The 26,502-nt window shown below is 41.2% G+C and overlaps 1 protein-coding gene and 1 long non-coding RNA gene across 2 annotated transcripts in view; one reads left to right on the top strand and one right to left on the bottom strand.

Annotated features, from left to right (window-relative positions):
* MGAT4A (alpha-1,3-mannosyl-glycoprotein 4-beta-N-acetylglucosaminyltransferase A) overlaps positions 1 to 26,502 on the bottom strand; it is a 112,027-nt gene that overhangs the window by 76,733 nt on the left and 8,792 nt on the right. The window lies entirely within an intron of this gene.
* LOC124906050 (uncharacterized) lies at positions 47 to 11,979 on the top strand. The gene is made up of 3 exons (XR_007087149.1): positions 47 to 3,270; positions 6,041 to 6,292; positions 11,709 to 11,979. It is a non-coding gene; the product is annotated as an uncharacterized LOC124906050 (long non-coding RNA).

A 26,502-nucleotide genomic window follows, 5' to 3' on the forward strand; every position in this document is an offset into this window, starting at 1 on the left:
TGTAGTTAATTACAATTTAAAGAGTGTTCCACAGAACTTCTTTTTTTTTTTTTTTTTTGAGACAGGATCTGGCTCTGTTGCCCAGGCTGGAGTCCAGTGGCACAATCTCAGCTCACTGCAACCTCCGCCTCCCAGGCTCAAGAGATTCTCCTCCCACCTCAGCCTCCCAAGTAGCTGGGATTACAGGCATGCACCACCATGCCTGCCTAATTTTTCTATTTTTTGTAGAGATGGGGGTCTCACTTTGTTGCCCAAGCTGGTCTCGAACTCCTGACCTCAGGTGATCTGCACAACTCAGCCTACCAAAGTGCTGGAATTACAGACAGGAGCCACCACACCCAGCCAACTTCCTAATTTCTACATTCCCTCCCTTGCTCTTTGAGATTTCCTTTCAGTAAGGAACTTTTCTATGCTCTTAATATATTCCTTTTTAGTAGGAACGCAGAAGTATTAGACTGAATGGAAAAGCACTTGCCATCTCTGGGCTGGAGGCCATAAATTTGAAATGCCTCTTATATCACATATTGTAGAGGTCATGTACGTCTGTGGCAACAGGCAGTTTTCCTATTCACTCTTCATTTGCTGCTGTCTAAGTTGACGTCTCTTCCCAATACAAATTCACTTACACCTCCTGCCTTTGCAGTTCTGGTATTCACTTTACTATGTAATAGAAGTAGCATGTTGCTGCCAGAATACAAGCATTGCTTTTGGCAAATTAAAGCGCATGTCATCTCTTAATACACTAGAAAGGGGAAATAAGTACCCAAGTCCAAGTCTAAAAGTTTAGTCCTTTTCCATGCAGATTTGTGCACATGTGACAGAGGGTATCCAGCCTGTCTAGTGATTGTTCTTTAGGGGTGGACCACTGTTATGTGCTGCTAATCACTGGCTGTAGTCCCAAAAGAGCCTTGTAAAAATGCTATCCCCTATGAAACAGCAGAGGAACACAAAATAAAATCTCATTTTATAAACCATTTACTATGGCTTTGTAACAACTGCATACCCATACATTAAGAAACGGGTGAATTTATTACTTTCTAAGGTTTATTGATATCTCCCTTTTATCTTATGTAAATTGTAGTAACAATGCCTATATTTCTGCATTGTGATCCACTTTTTTAGGGGTGCCTGGAAATGTACAGAATTGGACTGCATTTCTTAGAGTATTTTACTATAGATCAATTTCATGGGCCATCTCTTCCTCAGATGTAAATGATCTCTGGTGAAGTGTTACATGGAATAAAGTGGACATTTTAAAACTAAAAGTAATATAAATAGTCTAAATACACCAATTAAAAGAGAGACTAGATTTTAGAAGATGATCCCATTAAATGCCATATAAAAGGTTGGCACCCATGCCATGGAATCCTCCTCAGCAAGGTAACAAAGCAAACTACTCAAACACCCAGCAACTTGGATAGGCCTCATGGGCGTCACGCAGAATAAAAAATTCCAATCTCTCACACACTGTATGACTCCATTTATAATAACATTTCCAAAATGACAAAGTTATAGTGAAGGATAATAGACTAGGTTCCCAGGGGTTAGGGATGATGGGGGATGCAGGGGTTGGTGTGACTATCGACACCACAGGGGAGATCTTTGTGGTGATAGAATTGTTCTATAGTGGTGGTTACAAGAATCTAGACATGATAAAAGGACACAGAACTATCCACACTCATAATACCAATGTCAATTTCCTGATTTTGATATTGTACATTATATACACATAAGTTATCCCAAGAAGTAACTGTCAGGGAAAGATGGGTGAAGTTTGCACTGTATCTCTCTGTCTTTGCAGCTTCCTTTAGTTCTACAATTATTTTTAAATAGGTTTTTGAAAAAGCAAAGCAGAAAAGAACCAACGAACAAATAATTATTATTAAGGGCAAAAAGAAAATAGGGCATGTTCATCCAGTGGGTCATTCAACTGAAAGGACTTCACCACAACGTTTGTCAGAGGAGCCCAGAACACTGCCTTACTAAGAGGATGTGTAACAGTACTCTTTTGTCTACTGTGTATTCATACAACAAGATTAACTGGATGGGTTCATAAGAAGACAAATGCTAAAGGTTGATGTACACACAAAAGTGATTAGAAAGAGAGCGAATGTTAAAAAATTTTTCATTGACTTGATCATTCTAATTGCTGTTTATAAACCTAATAAAATGTTTTACAACTGAAAAGATGGCCATTCTCTTTTCAAAATTGTTAGCTGTCAGTTTTCAAAAACTGATATTTGCATTTGATGATTCAAGTGCAGAAGAACCAGAAGTAGTGATAAGCTGGCTGGGTGTGGTGGCTCATGCCTATAAAAAAATTCCAGCACTTTGGGAGGCTAAGAGAGGCAGATCATTTGAGGCCAAGAGTTTCAAGACCAGCCTGGCCAACACGGTGAAAACCCGTCTCTACTAAAAATACAGAAATTAGCCAGGTGTGGTGATGTGCACCTGTAATCCCAGCTACTTGGGAGGCTGAGGCAGAAAAAAATCACTTGAACCCAGGTGGCAGAGGTTGCAGTGAGCTGAGATTGCATCACTGCACTGCAGCCTGGGCAACAGAGCAAGACTCCGTCTCAAAAAATAAAATTAATTAAAAATAAATAAATATGCTCTGAAATCTCCTCACATTTGCTTACATTAATGCTCATTAATCCTCTCTTCTTTACACAGATCCCAGTATCAACGCTCCTTTTATTCATCTCCTGACCAGGAACACGAAACTGTTACCCATGCCTTTTCATTTTCCCCTTCATTATCCTCTGTACCTTACATTTCTAAATGGAAACCCTTCAATGACTACCTACTTAACTCTCCAACATGATCTCCTCACGTTGCCCAGGATCTTTCTTGCTTCAGTATTACCAAGCTGCTTGGAGTGCTCCAAGCCCACTTACTATGAGTTTCATTGCTCTACGTTCATGCTGTCTGCCTACCAGATCCACCTTCTCTTTCTTTACTGGAAAAAATTCCATGCATCCTTCAAAATACTCTTTCATTGTCTTCCTGTGAAGTTTTCTCTGACCTCTATCCTCTCTTTAGCTCCTTTTTATCTTGTTAACTACACTATTTTATATCAACACAAACTGTACTATAATTACATACTTATCTCTTTTTCCCTCCTCAGCTATGAGTTCCTTAACAGCAGGTTTGTCAGGAGTTCCTAAGACTATCCCCAGGTTCAGTGATTCACTTGAAGGACTCACAGGACTCACCATTGAGTTGCAGCACAGGGAAAAGACACACGGAGAGAAGTTTGGAAGAAACCAGGTATGCAGTGACTCAGGACACACTTCCTTCCCACAGTAGCGAGTGCTGACAACACGTGCAATGTGTTGTGTTGTCTACCACGAAAGCTCATTGGAGACTCAATGTCAAAGGCTATTACTGCGGGCTGGTCACATAGGCACCCGCTGCCTAGTACATACCAAAATTTCAGACTCCAATAAGGAAACCAGGTGTTCAGCATAACCACACAACTTGTACAAATAGTTTAGGCACACTGAGCCACTCTTCTCATATAGGGAAAGGTTATTATCAGGGTTTATCAGCCAAGTTCCCAGAGGCCAGCCGAGGACCAGCCTTTCAAGCCAGGCTTTCTGATAATTAGCAGTCTCAGATTTGCCATGTTAACTCTTTTCTGCACAGCAGGAATCATATTTTAGTCTTTTTTTTTTCCCCCTAAATGCCATTGCCTTACAGAATGCCAAGCAATAAGTAACAAGAGGCAAATCCTCTTAAACTAAAAAAATGTATTTAAAAATTGATCAATAATATGCATAAAATTTGTTATACCATTACTTATAAGATTAAGCTAATTATGGTAATTGTAAAATGGAATATTATGGACCCACTACAATTCATGGTATGGGAAACATTTGTGATATTAAGCAAAAAATGTACATTATACAATATGCACAGTATGAGGCCAATCCCATTTTTTGAGGGAGACACATATGTAGTACTGTGAGACAAATTAGCAAACATAGGAAGCCATGTTTGCCATTTCCGCTTGAACCCCGAGTATGTGACAAAATGCTCCCTGGAAGAATGTTTTGAAGACAAAATAGGGTAGAGCACATGGCCCACCACATCTCTTGCCTGAGTCACGATGTTTCTTATAGGATACGTGACCCGTCCTTGCCTTTTTCTGCACGTGAGATAACATCTGACGGGGTTAGTGAGTATGCTTCTGCAAGCTATAACCAGATATCCTCTCATACCCAAACCTCATGATTCCGCTTTTATGGAACTTTCTGAGCAAGTGCGATATGATTTTACCTGGAATGGTCCTGCACTACCTGCATATAAGCAGTGGCTGGAACACTGTGCAGGGGCCATCTCACAAGACCTCTCCAAAGGACCACTCCCAGGCTGCCAGCCTCGGGCTATAGTCCTTAGCAAGACTTCTGAGTAAAATTAACTTTAATTCTTTAAAAGCTTGATTTTTTCCTTTAGTTGACTATATATATAATATATACTATATATAATATATTCATATATACTATAAATACCATATGAGTATTTACTATATATGATATCATATTAGTATATACTCTATATTATATTAGTATATATTGCATTATCTGTCTATCTATCTATCTATAAGGTAGGTCTCAGAACCCCTTTACACTGTCTTCAAAATTAGACAACCCCAAAGACCTTTTGTTTATGTGAATTATATCAATCAACATTTACCATATTGCAAATCAAAACCAATTAACTTTTTAAAGATGTATTTAAAATTCATTTAAAAGTCTATTACATGTTGGCTGGGCGCGGTGGCTCATGCGTGTAATCCCAGCACTTTGGAAGGCCAAGGGAGGTGGATTACCTGAGGTCAGCAGTTTGAGACCAGCCTGGCTAACATGGCAAAACCCCATCTCTACTAAAAGTACAAAAATTAGCCAGCCGTGGTGGCGGGCACCTGTAATCCCAGCTACTCAGGAGGCTGAGGCAGGAGAATCGCTTGAACCCGGGAGGCGGAGGTTGCAGTGAGCCGAGATCGCGCCACTACACTCCAGTCTGGGGAACAAGAGTAAGACTCTGTCTCAAAAAAAAAAAAAAAACAATCTATTACATGTTAGCATAAATAATGCATTTTATTAAAAATAATTGTTTTCTTAAAAAAATTAGTGAAAAGAGTGACATTTGCTCACATCTCTTTAATTCAGCTGAATAGAATACAGCTGAGTTCTCATCTGCTTCTGCTATTTCTTATGAGAGTGGAAAAGGCTATTATAAAAATGGTCTTCACTTCATGAACCTCCTGAAAGGGTCTAGAGATCCCCACAGGTCCTTGGATCACATGCTCAGAACCACTAATCCAGAAAAAATGAAAGAAAATATACCAAAAATGTTTAACACTGCTCTAAAGATTTAGTTCATTGGTATTTTATTTAAGATTTCATCCTATTAGGTAAGGCTGATCTATTAGTCTCTTTTTTATGCTATTCTTGTCCACTACTGGTTTCAGAGTCCAGTGCAACTTTATCCACTGTATCCATTGCACAATGGGTCTAGAACTGGACAATTACTCACATCCCCAAAACCTGATTAGTAATGTTTCTGAAGCAGCACAAAAAAATCAGTTAATGTTCTGTAATAACCCAATGTTCTCAGTGTAGTCCCCTCTCATATGTCGGCCATGAATAATATCCTTTCAGAGTTAAGAATACCTCAAACAGATTCCAGACAACCTCTGAGCACAGCACATGTACTGCTTAAGAAGCTTTCCAACCTGGAAAAATTAGATTAGGAGTCTGTTTCAGGAAATGGATGCTAGCCAACTAAGCTGAACATAAAATAAAATAATACCATGCCAAGTGCAAGGTCTAAATCGGCAAACTTTAACATATCAGCAAGAAAGGCTGCTGACCAATTTGGCAGAGGCTAGGTCTACATTCTAGACCCTAGTTAGGTCCTGTTTTAAAATTAGGTCCTTATTTATAACACCTGAAACATTCAAGACTCTTCTTTTTAGAAAGTCAATATGGCAAAAACTTTCTTATGCCCTGATGTTGTATGTGTATATTTACAGCTCAAAGAGTCCCAGGTGTGCTGGTGCCTAACCCTGGCTGCCAATCAGAATTACCTAGGGGCACGTTCGAGAACTTCCCAGGGGATGTCTAACTTCTAGCATAACAGAGTGAGAAGGCTCACAAATCCTCTTCCCACAAAGCAACTATAAAGCTGGTCAAGAGTCAAAAACAACCTAGTTGGTGCTCTGGAAAGCAAGCAAGACATTCAACAAACTGAGAAGTGTTTATTCATGAAACCCACTGGACTCCAGGTGAGAACAGCACAAGTCTGTGACTTTTCCTGCCAAGAGCTGCCCTCATCTGCCCTGCCCTCAGCTCTGTCAATTCAGAAGTTTAACAGGCGTGGGGCAGGCCTTGAAAACTAGCAAACTCACTGCCACTGCTGGCAGGGACTCATTGGATTTGCAGTGTTGTCAGTGAGAGCAGCAAGCCCAGAGGCAGGCAAGCAGCACGGAGGGCCAGAGGCCTGCTGCCATGAGGCTGCTGTTCTATCTGGGACAAGCAATGGACTGGCACACCAGCTGGAGACTTAATAGGGAGGCCTTGAAAATGAGATGGCTGTAGGGGGCTTATAAAGCTCTTCACACATCCCAGGTGGACTGGAGGCTCTGAGCATGCACAGCAGACAGCAGTGCAGGCCCACACCACCCATGCACACCTGGTCATTAGAGCCCATGCATGCACACACACAGAGGAGCTGTAAAAGGAGACCAGGGCAAAGTACAGCTGGGGCGCACTCGCAAACAGCTTGCAGTACCGTGTGCTCCACAGTCCAACAGGTCCTGAGCAGAGAAGGGAGCCCTACCGGCTCGAGGTGTTTGACTACAAGCACTGACCAATCTTTACTGAACACTATGCTATGCAGACACAGGGGCAACCTCTCTAGGAAACCAGGCTTAAAAATAAGAACTAATCAAAACGGAAGTACAGAGACATCCAGAGTCAGATACAGCCGGAGAGACAGACTTGAGATTTAGTCCAGTCCAGTTACTTAAACAAATAGCAAATAAAACAATCACCATCCACTTGAGTTAAAATGTAAAGAATCCAGAACTGCATCAATATATTACCTAAAATATATGGTGGTCAACAAAAATTCACAAGACAGCAAAGGAAAAAGAAACCAGGACTCATACTCGGGGGAAAAATAAAATTCTGGCAGTCAGTGGAAGTGGTCTCTGAGTATTCCCAGATGCTGGGTTTAGCAGATGAAGACTTCGAAACAGTTACTATAAATAAGTTAAAAGAACTAATGAAGCCAAGTTTAAAGAACTAAAGGACCATGTGAGGAAACTGACTCAATGAATAGAGAAAACGAAGAGACAGGAAATATAAAACAAAATGGAATTTAGTTGTTAGAGCAACTAAAATTAAAATTCACTAGAGAGGCTCAGCAGCAGATTTCAGATGGCAGAAGAACAGAAGAATCAGTGAACTTGATGTTAGATTAATAGAAATTATCGAGTCTGAAGAACAGAGAGAAAAAAGATTGAGGAAAACTGAACAAACTGAACAGACTGAACAGAGAGGCCCCAGAGTATAGGATACCCCCAAGCGTTCACAGAAGGAAATAGAGAAAAAGTAGTAGAAAAAAATATATGAAAAAGTAATGACTTTCTACAAACTAGGAACAGAGGGGAACTTCCTCAACTGGATAAAGAACACCTCCTTAAAGGCAGAGGAATCTCTGAAAAATGTCAATCAGACTGTGGTACACCCTCGGCATAAAGCTTCCCACTGAGGAATAAAATCCAAAGATGTCCCTGTGGCCTCCATATCCAGTGTGACCTGGCCCCTGCTTGCTTTTCCAACTTTATCTCCCACCACACCCCCAACACTCCCTACCCCTAACAGTGCTTTAGCCACACTAGCTTCCTTTTACACTCTCCTAATGTGCCACACTCATCTGGCCTCAGGACTTTTGTACTTGCTGTGATACTGCCAGGACCCCTCTTCACTCCAACTCTCTGGCTTCTTATTATTTAGGTCTCAGTTCAACTGTCACCTCCTCAGAGAGGCATTCTGTGACCACTCGCATCTAAACAGCCGTCATTCCCACCTCAGTCACTTGTCATCGCCTTAGCTTGTTTGGTTGTCAGTATTCATCCCTCTCTGAAATAACTCAGTCTGCCTAGTTGCTCAACTACGACTGTGTAACATCCTCCAACTTAACATCTCTGTAAGTAGGGTCTGTATGGCAAGGACATTACCTATCTTGTTTACCATGAAATCGCCAGTGCCTAGTGGATCACCACCTAGTACACGCTCAATAAACACTAGGTGAATGAATAAATAACTGAGCTGAAGAGAGAAAAAGCAGCAATACGAAGAAAGCTACTTCAGATCAAAAGCACTATGCCGGCCTATGTAAAAAGTGTAAAAGCTCTATGTAAGCAGTCGCTTACATCTGTAATCCCAGCACTTTGGGAGGCCAAGGCAGGTGGATTGCTTGAACTCAGGAGTTTGAGACCAGTCTGAGCAACATGGCAAAACCCTATATCTACAAACACTACAAAAATTAGCCATTTAGCCTGGGCAACATAGCATGGCCCCATCTCTACCCTCCAAAAAATACAAAACTTAGCAGGGTGCGGTGGCATGCTCTGTGGTCCCAGCTACTTGGGAAGCTGAAGTGGGAGGACTGCTTGAGCTCAGGAGCCCGAGGCTGCAGTGAGCAGTGATCATACCACGGTCCTCCAGCTTGGGACAGAGTGAGACCCCGTCTTAAAAAAGAAAAAATTAGCCAGGCATGGTGGCACATACCTGTATAGTCCCAGCTACTTGGGAGGCTAAGGTGGGAGGATGGCTTGAGCCCAGGAGGCAGAGGTTGCAGTGAACCATGATCACACCACTGCACTATAGCCTGGGCAACAGAGCCAGATCCTGCCTCAATTAAAAAAAAAAAAGTACTATGCCAATAAACCACTAATATCCTGTAACTAGGATTAGCAAATTTCCCTCAAGATCAAATTTGTTATTGCAGTAGTTTATGTGCTGAGACCAATAAGGTCAATGTTCAATTACTCCTCCACAGCTGAGCAAACATGCTTCTGGAGAGTACACCAGAGGCGCAACTGACATTGGGAACAAACATCCCTTAAGGCAGGTGACAGGAGGACATCTGGAGTGCTGCATTTCTACCTTATCATTAACCCTAGCTTTCCGATAAGGAAACCCAAGTTACTTACCTTGATTCCAAGAAGCTCCCCTGAGAAGAGGGTTTATTGAGCTTCTAGATCTTAATCAGCACACTGAAAGATTACCTTTCATTACTGCCCCAGCAAATGCCTGCCACCACCTCCGGAAATGCTTGCCCTCTCCCCATTTTAAGCACGGATTGCAATGCTGTGCAGGTTTCACAGGTGTGATTAATTCATTGGATCGTGGACTCTGTCAGGTACAGAGGTCATAATGATCTTAAATGATGGTTCTAGATCGCAGGGAGCTTCATTCACCAGCATGCCTAAACGAGTTCAGCAGCAGCATTCAGGTTCCTTGTTCCACCTGATCATGGCCAGTCATTCTCTACCACCGCCTCTCACTTCATGAACAGGGTGACTGCATGCTATCTTTGCCTAGGACGGTTCCAATTTACAACTGTTACCCCAGCATGACTGTCAACAGTACTCCCTTTACTCTCAAGTGCCCTGCTCTGGACAGTAAATCATATGATCACCCTAGCTACAGAGGAAATTAATATTGTCCATTTTAAAAGTATCTATAGTGGAACAATTGATTAGGTGATTGTGGAGTAGTCCGAACTTAATGAAAATCAACTAACAGGCCGGGCGCGGTGGCTCACGCCTGTAATCCCAGCACTTTGGGAGGCCGAGGCAGGTGGATCATGAGGTCAGGAGATCGAGACCATCCTGGCTAACAAGGTGAAACCCCGTCTCTACTAAAAATACAAAAAATTAGCCGGGCGCGGTGGCGGGCGCCTGTAGTCCCAGCTACTCGGGGGCTGAGGCAGGAGAATGGCGTGAACCCGGGAAGCGGAGCTTGCAGTGAGCCGAGATTGCGCCACTGCAGTCCGCAGTCCGACCTGGGCGACAGAGCGAGACTCCGTCTCAAAAAAAAAAAAAAAAAAAAAAAGAAAATCAACTAACAATAAAATTCCCATTATTGAACACAGCTCAGTGTGCCCAAACACTGAAAATGAGAAAACCAATGCAGACGCTGAACCGATTGATAAAAATAGTAACACAGAGGTTTTGATATTGTGCCCTAAATGCTATCCACCATGTATGTAGGGACAAAAAAGCTATTTCTACTCTTTTATGTCATGACCTAAACCCTAAAAGTTAAGCTTTTGAGTGAAGAAGAATGAAAATTCTAGACAATAGCCAGTTTGGATGAATTTGGACCAGAATCTTGCTAGGAACTAGAGAACGGAATGGTGTAAAAAGTGGCTTCAGAGTGACATCAGCAAAAATGGTAGAGGAGGGGCCACCGAGGTGTGTCCCTCCGCAGAAGTATCAAAATGATGTGAGTTTTATTTTTATTTTTATTTTTATGATCTCAGCTCACTGCAACCTCCGCCTCCAGATTCAAGTGATTCTGCTACCTCAGCATCCCAAGTAGCAGGGACTATAGGCGCCCACCACCATGCCCAGCTAATTTTTGTATTTTTAGTAGAGACGGGGTTTCACCATGTTGGCCAGGATGGTCTCGATCTCCTGACCTCATGATCCACCCGCGTCGGCCTCCCAAAGTGCTGGGATTATAGGCATTGAGCCACTGTGCCCGGCCTGATGTGAATTTAAAAAAAAAAAAAAGCTGTAGAATATACATGGCATACTGCTATCTGTGTAAATTTTTTAGATACATAAAATTATATATGTACATATATACATACATAAAAAGTGAATATTCACATCCATAAATCAACATATAAAAATGCATTACAGGAGTACACAACATGATGTGGTCTGCCTCAGTCTAGGCAGGGCAGCAGAGATGGAAACTGGCTGGGAGACTTTAGGGAGATCTGCCATGCTTTCTTCATTAAAAATGAAAAAAAAAAAAAAAGACTAGAAGTAAATATGAAAAATCTGGGCTGGGCACGGTGGCTTATGCCTGTTATCCCAGCACTTTGGGAGGCCAAGGCAGGCAGAACACTTGAGCTCAGAAGTTTGAGACCATCCTGGCCAACATGGTAAAACTCCATCTCTACTAAAAATACAAAATTAGCTGGGTGTGGTGGCGGGTGCCTGTAGTCCCAGCTGCTTGGAAGGCTGAGGCACGTGAATCACTTGAACCTGGGAGGCAGAGGTACAGTGAGCTGAGATCACGTCATTGCACTCCAGCCTGGGTGACAGAGAGAGACCCTGTCTCCATTTTTTTAAAAAATGAAAAATCTGAGTAATAGGAATATAGGTGTTTCTGTATCATTTAGTATACTTTTCTGTATAATTTTTTAAAATTTAAATGGGGTAGGGTGGCATGCAGGCATGGCCTCTGCCTCCTTAAGAAGCTCATTGTTTAAACTCTAGCCTAGTTTATTTTTGCTGGCTGCTAGCAATCACTGCTTCTTTTTATAAGTGCTCATGCTCACAAAACACCCAATGAATATCTGTCCCCAAATGTCAAGCTCTGCCATCTGCAATAGCCACTTTCTCGTCCTTTAATAACAATCATAATGGTATCTGCCTTTATTTTACCTCCTAGCACTTCTCCCGATGTTACAGCTCCTCTACAATCAACAGCGGAATGAGAGGGGAGAAAAAAATCATACCAGTCTCATGAGAGCTAAAATGACCCTCCCAAGATGAAAGAGCAAGCTACAAGAGAACCAAGGTCTCCAGACTCTAGCGTCTCCCCAGTGATAGCACAGCCATTATTCCTCAGGAAAAGAAAACCATGAACAGCATCTGGAGAGGTCAATCACTTCCACAACCACCCTGCCTGTCCCTTCTGAGAAGGGACCAAATCCTACCATTCCAGAGCAAGGCTGCTCATGTGTAATCTCCGGAGTCCTTTCTGGATCTTCTCTATGACTTAATCCAAACAGTGAGACATCTGTTTGAATTCCACCATTCCACAACATACCTAACCCTCAACAGGACTCGCTTTTAGAAAATGGTTTCAAAGTAACTTAAGTTCCACACTGTGAATCTACATTTTCTGGCTATTTATAAATTTGTTGCCAGTTGCCTCAAGTTTACTTTAATCAACTGTAATAGACCAAAATATATAAGTTAAGCCTACGACATCCTCCCCTATGATGCAGTCAATGTTAGGGGTATTTTAGTGAGCTCAGTTTTTTTTTTTTAAGAGATGGGTCTCACTATGTTGCCCAGGCTGGTCTCGAACTCCTGGTCTTATGGGATCCTCCCACCTTGGCCTCCCAAAGTGCTGGGATTACAGGCGTGAGCCACCGCACCCCGCCAGTGAGCACAGCTGACAACAAGCTGCTTTTCAGGTCCGTGATAAAAGGAAAATATTATAAGATTAATGAGATTTACTAATTAGATATACTCGCTGATAATGTGTTTTATTTTAATGAAAAGCCATGAGATTTATAAGTACCCTCCTCTGCATCAAAACAATAAACCTGAAATCCTAAAGTCTAACATTATGTGTAATTATTTCTAGAAAAAAAAAGTTATACCTGCCGTAAACTTTGGCATATATTTTGCTAGGAAGACACTTCAGCAGTTACACTTAGTAACAAAACAAAGATCCACTGCCTCACTCCAGTTAACACGTGCCTCTTCCAGAAATACCAGCAACCAGTAATGTAGATGCTTCCATTTAAAGGGAACGTTGCTGGAGTAAACAACAGATTTTTGCATGATTCAAGTATCCTTTAACTAATGGCAGCATGAACTGATTTTTCAACCTAAAAACAACAGTTAAACTGGTTGTTTAACCATCAGGTTAAACTAGTTTTTTGCCAGCTTTCTTAAATTGAAACTGTGCACTTAAAAAGAAATGCAACATAAACAATAGGGTGAGAATATAATTAAATACTAGCTAAGAAGATACAGTTTTGTAAAAAGTATACAAAGAAATCACATTGGGTGACAGACAACGTGAGCATCCCAGAAGCTCATCTGTGGAGGACTCATCCAGAGAACACGGCTCTACTGCCCTGGAGGCAGTGGGCATTCCCTGAGAGCCGATTCAGGCTGTACACCCCATGGAGTCAGACACACCTAGGTTCAGACCTTCTTTCTGAATTCACTTTCTAGTCATCTCATATAGCTGGATTAAGTACTTTGCTAATTGCCTGAGTGTCTTCATGTCAAACAGGGATATTAATACTCACTTCCTTCCCTAGAGCTGTAGTGTGGACTAAATGAGACCACGGAGAAAAAGGCGGTCTACAAAGGGTACTCTTCACTGCTCCCAAACACCAACTCTAAGCTTGTTTTCAGTCTATAAGCTACAGGCTTATTTCCCCTGAAATGACAGCACCATACAGCAATAATGGAGGTCCAATCGGTTCTATTATTTCTCTGCACAACTGTCTACAAACAAATGGGACTTTATTACTGATTTAAAAAGGGGAAAACAGGAATGGACAAAGGATAGATTTTGTCTATTTTAGGGAGAATGTTGCAGAATTACAAAAGAGGCAACAAGATAAATGCATATTATGAGGCGCAACAAAAATAAGACATTTTACAAGTCTTGAAGTTCAAGTTTTTAAGTTTAACTTACACCAACTTAATGAAAGAACAACCCAGTAGAAGGGAAAAACCTAACATGGTAGCCAACCACTGGACATCCAGTTCAGGAGTATGAGATTTCCTGGAACATTTACCTCCTTTTTCCACAACTCACACACAGGATTTGTGAAGAATGTTTTTCAAAATTTTTGGTACTTTGAAACAGCAACCAAGCTGCCAACAGAAGCCTCTCTACACACAAGCTTGCCAGGACAAACAAAGGGGTAAATTCAAGCCATGACTGGCCATCTGCCACAGCATAAAGCAAGAGATAAACTAGTTGGCAAACTCTTTCCCTAGCCCACAACACTTTTCACATTCTCCTTTAAGTAAGAAATTCAGGCTACCCAGTTTCCCTATAAAACTCCAGTCCTATTAGAACTTCACTTTAGTGAGCTGGAGTTCACCAACACAGAGCAAAGTCTTAGCCATCAATGAAATCTCACTGAAAAGGAGAGTAGAGCAACATGACTGGTTAAATTGGAAAAAAAAACAATCAATGACCATTTCCCAAAAACAACAGGAACACTTTTGTCCATCACTAACCCTCATAGACACCCAAATTTTGAAGTCTCTAAAACAACTCCTCGTGAAAGGAACTAGGATCTTAAGACATAGCTAATTCCACATCATCAGACAGGAAAATAAAAACCAGGATGGGTCTGCAAGCATGGAAACAGGGTAAGAATGCAAGAGTGCTTTCAAGGATGTCAGGGGAGAATGCAGAAGAGGCAAAGAAAACAGCCTAACATGGTATCCGGTAGCCAGGTTGTGACAATGTAGATATTAAAAGAAAACAAATTATATTTAGTGGATATACATTTGAAAACAAAAAAAGTTATTCCAAAAAAGTTGAAATGCAAAAATTTAAAGACAAGGAATATGATTAATTTTGTGTCAGTTTGGGTTGTTGTTGTTTTTTGTTTTGAGACAGTCTCACTCCATCACCTAGGCTGGAGTGCAGTGGCCCGAACTCGGCTCACTGCAAACTTCACCTCCCCAGTTCAAGTGATTCTCCTGCCTCAGCCTCCTGAGTAGGTGGAACTACAGGCACGCACCACCATGCCTGGCTAATTTTTGTATTTTTAGTACAGATGGGGGGCGGGGAGGCGGACAGTTCACCATGTTGCCCAGGCTAGTCTTGACCTCCGGAACTCAAGTGATCTACCAAAGTGCTGGGATTACAGGCGTGAGCTACTGTGCCCAGTAATTTTTTTCTGAATTTGAATAAGTAGAAGACAGTCAATACATTTGTTATTTCCTTCCTCTAATAAGTATGTCTGCTTATATAGAAAATTTTGTCTATCTGTGTGTACAATAATGAAGGAAGGAAAAAGGAAGTTCTGTGCAAACCCACAGTTTTGGAGCAAAATAAGAAGTATAAGAAGAACGGCGGGTGGGGAGGAAGATAAGCACAGTGGTCACATAAAGAAGTTGGGTTAAAAAAAAATCAGTGATCTGTCGTAAAATAACCAAGATGCTAGACTAGACCTCTTGTCTGAGAAGAAGAAAAAAACTCTAAGTGGCCTTCTAATCAGAAGATCCCAACAAGAAATGCTTAAGTTTGCAATCTCTCTACTAAGTCGATATAATGACAAGTGGTCGGTAAGGAATGCTATTCCATAGGGGAAACACCAGCCTGGGCAAAACTAAAATCTATATGATAAATTTGAGCTCAAAAGGCCTCATTAAACTAACAAGTTAATTTGGAAAAAAAAAAAAAAAAAAGGACCCAGACAACAAGTAACCTAGATTTAAATTACATCGGGGGAAGCAACCAGGTTCCTGGCCCCTACTCAATGCTCAGTCAATAATCCTGATCACATTTGACACGAATGGTCCCAGAAGACACTCACTTTTTTATTTTCCAGCTTGATGAGATTTCTAAAATCCCAGAAAGGTATAAAAATGAGAATTACTATTAACTTTAGGAAGGTTTAGAGATGAAGAAATTAATGAAAAAGCCCATAGTATTGCTAATTAATAATAAGTTTAAATATAAATATGGTAGTTTTACAATATTTGTGCTTGTTTTTATATTGATTGAGGTGTTTGAAGTTCAAAAAAAAAATCAGCTAACCACTTAAGTAACTTACAAGAGAAAAAAAGACATGTGTTCACACGTGCATAAGTACCACGTTAGCCTCAATCATGGCTCACTGCAGCCTCAACCTCCCAGTCCTCAAGCAATCCTCCTGCCTCAGCTTCCTCAGTAGCTGGGACCACAGACAAAAGCCATCACACTCGGCTAATTTTTACATTTTTTGTAGAGATGGAGTCTTACTTTGTTGCCCAGGCTCATTTCAAGGGATCCTCCTGCCTCAACTTCCCAAAGTGTTGGGATTATGGGCATGAGTCACCACACACAGCAGGATATTTTATAGCAAGTAAAATTTAGGATAAAGTAGTAACATAATGACACTCTTCACCAGAAATTCCTGCCGAGCCCTTCAGATCTCTCGTCACCTTTACTGCTACCATCCCTGCTCCCAGCTCTAACAGTCCCTGTCCCCTCCTCATTCCCTCAGTCTCCTCCACTCTTCTCCATCCTTCGTGCATCTGGACCTGTATTCATCAGACCAAACACTACACGTGCCCACTCCTTGGTTCAATCCAACATCCACCTTCCCTATTAACACAGCGAATACCTTTCTCCCCCATTAAATTCCTATCTTCTTTTCAGACCAACTCCAACACCGCTTCTTGTGAGAATCCTTTCCAGAATCCCTCATCTGAATGTGCTGTTTTTACCCCAGTGCTATCATAGCACTGTGTTCACACCTCCATGAATGCATGAGTAACACTACTGATTCTCATCACTTGTCTGGGTCCTTCAGAGATGCACCATGAGAAAGACTCCTTTTTAAAAAGCTGCTGACCCGACAACTGAAATAGTTGTGTACCAATATGTGCACCAAAATACAGGAAAGACAGGTAAATGCTGAAATGTTGTACTTCTGGAGTTTGTTACACAGGTGTGCCCCTTTGTGACAACTCATAGAGCTGTACACTTATGATTTGTGCACTTTTTACATCTTTCTTATACTTAAAACATTACTTAAGAGAAACTGCTCTGAATGCAATAAATATCTAAACCTGCTGAACTGAAGACGGATTCACACGCCAACCCCTCATCTTGGTTAGAAAATCATATTATCTCATCTCAACTGTGGAGGGAAGACAAAACCCTGACATGTGAACATTTACTATTATTTAAGCTGGAAACAAACTTTACCAAATGAATACTGACTATAATTTGCTTTAAGTTACTTTCTAGCTTCCTAGTGGAAATACACAGAACAGAGCTTCTTAAAAAATGCCCTTTTGGGCCAGGCACAGTGGCTCATGCCTGTAATCCCAGCACTTTAGCAAGCTGAGGTGGGAGGATTGCTTGAGCTCAGGAGTTTGAGAGCAGCCTTGGCAACACTGTGAGACCTCACCTCTACTAAAAATACATTTTTAAAAAATTAGCCTGGTGTGATGGCACACACCTGTAGTCCCAGCTAGTCAAGAGGTTAAGGTGGGAGGATTGCTTGAGCCCAGAGGCTGCAGTGAGCCTGGAGATGGAGGATGCAGTGGGCCGAGATCACACCACAGCACTCCAGCCTGGGCAACAGGGCAAGATCATGTCTCAAAAAAAAAAAAAAAAAAAAAAAAGCCGTTTATCTTTAGGTTTTGAAAAGTAAATATTAATAGACATGCAAAATATACTTCAGCAAAAAAAGATACAGAATCTACTTTTCCCAAATAAGTTATTTAAATCTAAATGTTAATCAAATCAACTCTATCCCCAGACTTTCATGTTTACAACATAATTGGCAACTAGAGTTTTCTCCCAAAAACTAAATTCTTGCTTTACCGTGGTTTGAATAAAAAAATTAAGGCTAAATCTAATCTTAAAAAAAAAAAAAAACAAACAAACCCGTAGGCCAGGCACAGTGGCTCACATCTGTAATCCCAGCACTCTGAGAGGCTGAGACAGGTGGATCACTTGAGGTCAGGAGTTCCAGACCAGCCTGGCCAACATGGCGAAACCCTGTCTACACTAAAAATACAAAAGAAATCCAGGAAGCATAAATCAGAAAATAGTGAGACTGAACACCTACAAGGGATGGATGGGTAGAAACAAGGAAGGAATAGAAATGGGACAGGAGGAATGAGAAGAGACACATCTCTCAGCATACCTTTTTTACTGTTCTGACTCAGAACCAACATGTTTCACATATCCAAAATGTAAATAATTGCAATTAGCATGACATGGGAGAAACCCAAAACAGAATACAAACAGTAATATATTGACCTAACAGATTATAAATAAATAACATAACCACACGGAAGAGGAAGTGACTAAAATGTAACCTAAGTAACTTTAGAAAATAGCATCTGTATATTACAAGACTAAATACAAAAAGAACTGTGCACAAATATTGAACCCTAGTAAATTTACTTTTCATTTGTGTATGGGTTAGAATTCTGAAACTACTGTACATATATACTGGGATTGAGCATAAGCAACTATATTGGGATAGTAAGAGCCATATTTTTTTTTCTTTGAGACGGAGTCTCGCTCTGTCACCCAGGCTGGAGTGCAGTGGCGCGATCTCACCTCACTGCCACCTTCGCCTCCCGGGTTCAAGCTATTCCTGTGTCTCAGACTCCCAAACAGCTGGACTACAGGCACATCCACCATGCCCGGCTAATTTTTTGTATTTTTAGTAGAGATGGGGTTTCACCATGTTGGCCAGGCTGGTCTCGAACTCCTGACTTCAAGTGATCCACCTGCCTCAGCCTCCCAAAGTGCTGGGATTATAGGCATGAGCCACCGCATCCTGCCAGAGCCATATTTTTTACTGTCGGAGGCAGGACTTACAAATGAGGAAAAGAGGAGACTAGCATGGACACCACAGTATTCAATTAAAATCCAAGGGATCACTAGGAATTCAAGAAACGCAGGTGGACGTGGAAATAGCTGAGGATGCTATGCACGCACACATGTATCCCCTTGCTCTGTGCACTGAGAGGGACTGGAAAGATGATGCCACGGTAGGAATGAGCACAGCAAGACTCTATTCTCCAAAGGAACTACAGGCTCCTTGGAAAAATGATTGCTTCCAGGACAGGGGTAGAGAAAATACAGGACAAGCCTGGAGCATGCTATGGCACCAGAAAGGAAAAAATGGCTCTAAAAATGATGGAGACTAGATAGAGGTGGTAGTTGCACAACATTGTGAATGTACTAAATTGTTTATTTTAAAAGGGTTAATTTCGTTATGTTAATTTCACCTCAATAAATTTGAAAAAAATGATAGGGGCACAACAAAAGGCTCAGAAGCCAACTTGAGGAAGCTCCTAATGGCCACCTCTGAGACAATTTAAACAACAAAATAAGTTACTGTAATAAAGGACCATAACCCCAGAATTAAATAAATATCCATGAGTTCATACTTATGTAAAGAAATAAGAAAGAAATACATGAAGGAGGGCTGGGCGTGGTGACTCAAGCCTGTGATCCCAGCACTTTGGGAGGCTGAGGCAGGTGGATCACCTGAGGTCAAGAGTTCAAGACCAGGCTGGCCAACACGGTGAAACCCATCTCTACTAAAAATACAAAAAAAAGTAGCAGGGCATGGTGGCGCATGCCTGTAATCCCAGCTACTCAGGTGGTGGAGGCACGAGAATCATTTGAATCCGAGAGGCAGAGGGTGCAGTGAGCCAAGATTGTGCCACTGCGTTCCAGCCTGGGTGACAGAGCTAGACTTCATCTCAAAAAAAAAAAAAAAAAAAAAAGAAATGAGGGAGAAGAGACATCTCTTCCTTACAGTGGAATTCCAATTAACTAATAAGTACAGAATGAATGATGGAAACAGAAAGTTACATTTGGAAAACACCACAGTAAGAATTGCTGCAGGTAGTCATAAAAAAAGAACGAGATCATGTCCTCTGCAGGGACACAGATGGAGCTGGAGGCCATTATCCTTAGCAAACTAATGCAGGAACAGAAAACCAAATACCCCATGTCCTCATAAGTGGCAGCTAAATGAGAACACATGGACACACAGAGGGAAACAACACACACTGGGGCCTTTTGGAGGGTGGAGGGTGTGAGGAGGGAGAGGATCAGAAAAAATAATTAATGGGTATAATACCTGGGTGATGAAATAATCTTTACAACAAACCCCGTAACACAAGTTTACCTATGCAACAGATCTGCACTTGTACCTTTGAACTTAAAATAAAAGTTTAAAAAAATTGCTGCAGGCAAAAATCATCAAAGGATGTTAACGTTTGTAGGTAAAAGTATGATAAGAAACAGGATATTGGCTTCCACAAAATGCTTATTAATTACAATGGCAAAAATAGTAACTTTACAATGGAAAAGCCTGTCAGACACCACTTCAACCAAGTGATCGAAGCAAACATCACCAGTAACAAGACACATCAACATCACACACCTCCTGATATAATGTGCTAACTGAAGAATACAGCCAGGGTGCGGTGGCTCATGCCTGTAATTCTAGCAGTTTGGGAGGCTGAGGCAGGAGGATCACTTGAGCCCAGGAGTTCGAGACCAGCCTGGACAACACAGTGAGACCCTGTCTCTACAAAAAATTTTTGCAATTAGCCGGGCATGGTAGTGCATGCCTGTGGGCCTTCCCTCAACTTCAGAAGCTGAGGTGAGGGTGACTGATTGGGCCCAGGAAGTCAAGGCTGCAGTGAACCATGATCACACTACTTCGCTCCAGCCTGTGTGACAGAGTGAGACCCAGTTTCAAAAAACAAGGTAGCTGGGCGTGGTGGCTCACGCCTGTAATCCTAACACTTTGGGAGGCCAAGGCGGGTAGATCACCTGAGGTCAGGAGTTTGAGACCAGCCTGGACAACATAGAGAAACTCTGTCTCTACTAAAAATACAAAACTTAGCTGGGTGTGGTGGGGTGCACCTGTAATCCCAGCTTCTCAGGAGGCTGAGGCAGGAGAATTGCTTGAACCCAGTGGGCAGAGGTTGCGGTGAGCCAAGATTGTCGATTGCACCACTGCACTCCAGCCTGGGCTACAGAGCGAAACTCCATCTCAGAAAAGAAAGGACATAACATCAACATCATTTCTGTGGTATTCTTGCCAAAAATGCATTAGAGTTGTCCCTTGCTATCCATGGGGGATAGGTTCCAGTATCTTTGAGGATACCAAAATCTGCAGATGCTCAAGTCTCTGATATATGACACAGTATTTACATATGACCTACACACAGCCTCTTGTATACTTTAAATCATCTCTAGATTACTTAAAATATCTAATACAATGTAAATGCTAGATAAATAGTTGTTATACTGTGTTTTTTAGGGAATAATGACCAAAAAAAACCAGTTTGTATATGTTCAGTACAGACACAAACACTGTGGACCTAACCACATTTTCCATCTGTGGTTGGCTGAATCTGTGTATACAGAGGGCCGACGGTGCCTCAATCTAACCAGATAAATCATCAGGCAAATTCAAATTAAGGGGCATTCCACAAAAATGTCGAGGACATAAAAGACAAAGAAAGGGCCAGGCATGGTGGCTCACACCTGTAATCCCAGCACTTTGGGAAGCCGAGGCGGGCAGATCACCTGAGGTCAGGAGTTTGAGAACAGCCTGGCCAACATGGTGAAACCCCATCTCTACTAAAAATACAAAATTAGCCAGGCATAGTAGAGGGCACCTGTAATCTCAGCTACCAGGGAGGCCGAGATAGGAGAATCGCTTGAACGTGGGAGGTGGAGGTTACAGTGAACCGAGATCGTGCCACTGCACTGCAGCCTGGGCAACATAGCGAGACTCCATCTCAAAAAAAAAAAAAAAGATGGAGGAAATTTTGCATACTGGAAGAAAGTAGGAGGACATGACAACTAAACGCACCATGGGATCCTAGATTGGACTCTGGCACAGAAGGACATTAGTGGGAACTCTGGTGAAATTCAAATAAGGTTTGTAGATTAGTTAATAATTTTAAATCAAAATTAATCTTTTGGTTTCGAAAATTATACTACTCTGATTATATATAAGTTGTTAATATTGGGGGAGGATAGGTATAAGGGAAATCTGTGTACTATTTTTGTACATTTATTGTAACTCTAAAAGTATTTCATAATAAAGTTTTTAAAAACATTTACTGCTGTTCAACTTACTGTTTAATTTACTGTTTTACTGTTCTGCAGCTCTCTCCTCCCTCCTCTCCTACACTACGGCAAGGATATTCCTCTAACATGTTCTAATGCTAATGCATCCCAGACCACAAACAGTGCCTGGCATGCCGAAGGCACTCAAAAAACACAGGTCGACAATTTTGGTAAGCCAGAATGATGACGGCGTATTCCAAGTCCTAGACTTAGTATTAATTTTCCTTATATCGTATTTGAAAGCAGCTTTGCTTATTCTGTAAAGAAAAACAAATCTAAAAACTTTTATTCACTGTTTATTTACAAATAAGAATCATAGTTTCCAATAAAATGCTTCGTCTGGTGTTTCTGTTATAGCTAACAGGATATGAATCTGATCTTTTCTTGCAGTAAGTGTTTTCTCAGAATATACTGTAGTCTACTGATTCAAAGGTACACATTTTCTCCCATATTTCAACATCTGAAATCAAGGTGACTCTTACACGTGATGGCATGTCAGTTTAATCAGCAGCTGCTTTTCCTGCTTAGCAGTACTTTACAATCATGGTGCATCTAATGGTGTATTAAATTTGATGAAATCTGGTAATGAATAAAGCATTTTCAAAATATTTTTGGAGCTCCACTTCCAACGCAACAGCATAAGCTCTGCTGATCCCCTGTGAAGTGAAACTAGTGAAAATTATTGTTTTAAAAACCTCTTAACAGGACCTGAAAACTGTCTCAAGGACAAATAGCACATGAATAAATGCCTATATGAGAAAATCTATAAAAATTCAGTGAGAAAGCTGAGAGCACAGTATTTGAACCAAGATCATTCCCCCCTCTTTTCTCCCCAACCAGTGAGGTAGAGACCTCACTCCAGACTACAGCAGCCAAGAACACAGGGCTCCCTTTGCTCTCCAGCTCCAAGCTGCAGGATTTCATCCTGGGAGAAGCAGGACTTCAACTTTTCTCCTGCTGCCCCCAAATGCCTGTAGCTAAGGTTAAGTCCCAGGCAAGTGCAATTGAGATGTGGGGGCTCTCTTACTCTACCCAACCCCTGCTGATGGAATGCAGGCTCTACATTGGGTGCATGCAGTGTGCTGAGAATATTAGGGCCCTGACAGCCCTTCCTGGGCTTGTAAGGCAGTGGTTCCACCCCTGGAATAGCACAGCCACAAGAACCTCAACCTCTTGGCCCCTCCACTTAGTGCTCAGCCCCTAGAGTGGGGCTGCCACTCAGAGAAAAACCTGTCATTATCCTCAGTCCCACCTCAAGACTCAGAAATCCTGCCTGGTACCATAAAACAGTTCCTGATCTCTTCCCAAAGAAGGGGCTTCATTTGCAACAGCGCCTGGAGAATTTTGGGCTTGTGGTGAGAGAATGGGGAGAATTGTGGATCTAGTGAAGATACGGCCTAGAGTGTGGGAGCTAGCTTGCAGGAGAGAACCTGCAAAAGAGGTGGAAAGGAGTCCTCCTGGGGTCAGAAAAATATCGGACACTGACCTTAGAAACTATTTCTTCAAAGGAATCACAATTTTATCATAGAATACATTATAGGTGGAAAAGAAAAAAAAGGAACCACCATTTAGTTTGTAGCAGAATTTATGCCCCAGGGCATTGGTGTAAACAATAAAACAATCAGCTGGTAATTAGTGTAGGAGTCTTAGAAAGAGTAAAGGGGTATCCCAGGGTGAGTGTGGGCAAACCAAGAGCTGAAGCTGCGGCCAGCCACTAAACAAATAAACCAGCAAATAACAACAGGTGAAGGGGACCTTAGTACCCCAGGTTGCTAAAATACATTTCTCTAAAATGTCCAGTTTCCAATAAAAAAATTATGAGATGTGCAAAGAAACAGAAAAATACAACCAATACACCAAACGGGGAAAAAAAACCAAGCAGGTAACAGAAACTGCCTGTGAGTACAACTAGATGAACTAGATGTTGGATTTATTTATTTATTTTTATTTTTTAAGATGGAGTCTAGCTCTGTCACCCAGACTGGAGTACAGTGGGGGCGATCTCGGCTCACTGCAACCTCCGCCTCCTGGGTTCAAGCAATTCTCCTTGCCTCAGCCTCCCCAGTAGCTGGGATTACAGGTGCCCACCACCACGCCCAGCTAATTTTTTATTTTTAGTAGAGATGGGATTTTGCCATATTGGCTAGGCTGGTCTCGAACTCCTGACCTCAGGCGATCCACCTGCCTCAGCCTCCCAAAGTGCTGGGATTACAGGCATGAGCCACCATGCCCAGCCAGGATTTATTTTTAAAAGGATTTCAAATCAGCCATTATAAATAAACTCACAGAACTAAAAGAAAATTTAATTGAAGAAGTAAAAGAAGGTATGACAAAGTGGCATCAAATATAAACTATTAATAAGAAGAGAGAAATTTTAAGAAAGAACGAAATGGAAATTCTGGAGTTGAAAAGTACAATAGAAGTAAAAATTCACTAGAGGACCTTGTGATGGTTAATTTTATGTGTCAATCTCACGGGGCTAAGGAATGCCCAGACAGCTGATAAAACATTATTTCTGGATATGTCTGTGAAGGTATTTCTAGATGAGATTAGTATTTGAATCTGTAGACTGAGGAAAGAACATGACCCTCACCAATGTGGGTGGGTATCGTCCAATCTACTAAGAGCCTGAGTAGATCAAAAAGGTGGAGGAAGGGCAACTTTGTTTCTGGTCTGAGCTAGGATATCCCACCCTCAGACATCAGCCCAGCTGGTCCTCGGGCCTTTGAACTTGAACTGGGACTTTCACCATTGGCTCCCTTATCCTCAGGCCTTTGGACTGAGACTGAATTACACCACCAGCTTTCCTGGTTCTCCAGCTTGCAGGCGGCAGATTCTAGGACCTCTCAGCCTCCATAATCACATGTGCCAGTTCCTATAATAAATCTTGTGTGTGCGTGCACATGTGTTTGAGTGTGTGTGTGTGTGTGTGTGTGTTCTGTTTCTCTGATGAACCCTAACTAATACATGCCTCAAGAATAGATTTGTACACAATGGAGAAAGAATTAGCAAACTTGAAGGCAGGTCGGTAGAGATTATATAAGCTCAAGAGGGAGAAAAAAATGAAAAATGAACACAGCCTCAGAGAAAGGTGGAACACCAATAAGCACACCACCACATGTGTAATGGGAATACCAGAAGGAAAGGAGAGAGAAAGGAGAAGAAAATAATTCAAAGAAATAATGACTTAATACTTCCCAAATTTACTGAAGAACAATAAGCTATTCATCCAGGAAGCTCAACAGACTCCAAACAGGGTCAATAAAAGAGACCCACAAACACATGGTGGAAATGAAAAAAGTCAAACACAAGAAAATCTTGAAAGCTGCAAGAGAAAAATGACATTACTTACAAGGGAACTTCCATAAGATTAATAGCTGACTTCTCAGCAGAAATAATAGAGGACAAAGGCAATGCAATCACACAGTGTTCAAAACCAACAAAAGTCCTTGTTAACCAAGAATCCTATGTCCAGAAAAGCTATCTTTCAAAAATAAAGGTGAAATAAAGACATACCTAAATAAACAAAAACTGAGGGAATTCATTGTTAGCAGACATGCCTTATAAGAAACACTAAGGGAAATTCTTCAGGCTGAAAGGAAGTTACCCCAGATGGTGGTTCAAATCCACACAAAAAGCAGCAATAATTATGAAATTAGAATATACACTATTAATGTATTTTTTTCTTCTTTCTGTTAACGATTTAAAAAGTCAATGGTATAAAATATTTATGTAATTCATTGCTGGGTCTATAACGTGTGGAAATATATCAGTAATATAATTGCCAGTAATAGCACAGAGGAGGTAGGTGGAAATAAAACTGTAATGGGCTAAGGAAATAATAACACATAAAAATAATAATTATAACAATATATTGTTTGGTTTGCAACATTAACAGATGTAATAAGTACAACAATACCCCCCAAAAGGGTAAAAAGGAACAGACCTACATAGGAGCAACACTCCTATATATTACTAAAATTAAGCTAGTATAAATCTAAAGCTGATTCTGTTGAGAGACTACTAAAAATACTCAAAAGTAGTGAAAAAGTCATTAATGAAATTAAAATGCTATATTAGAATTCAATTAATGCAAAAAAAAAGCAATAAGGGAGGAACACAGGAACAAAAAAGACATAAGGCACAGGAAAAACAAAAAATCAGATGACAGAAATGAATCCAGTTATATTAGTAATAGCATTAAGTATGTATGCATATGCAACCCAATCAAAACGCAGAGGGTGTCAGACTGGATTTTAAAAAGCATGATCCAATTATATGTTGTTTACAGGAGACACACAGTAAATTCAAAGATAAACAGATTGAAGTAAAAGTATAAGAATGTGTACAGGTCTCATCACTTTGAAAAAGTCTGGTAATTCCTCAAATGATTAAACATAATAGAGTTATGATAGGACCCAGCAATTCCACTCCTTGGTAAATACCCAAGAAAAATAAAAACACATGTCCACACAGAAACATGTACCTGAATGTTTATAGCAGCATTATTCATAATAGCCAAAACGTAGAAACAACCCAAAGTTCACCAGCGGATGGATGGATAAACAGTGTGGTACATCCATACAAGGGACTATTATTCAGCTGTAAGAAGGGAGGAAGCACACATCCT

The sequence above is a fragment of the Homo sapiens genome, chromosome 2, assembly GCF_000001405.40.
Source record: "Homo sapiens chromosome 2, GRCh38.p14 Primary Assembly".
In the NCBI taxonomy this organism is placed as follows: Eukaryota; Metazoa; Chordata; class Mammalia; order Primates; family Hominidae; genus Homo; species Homo sapiens.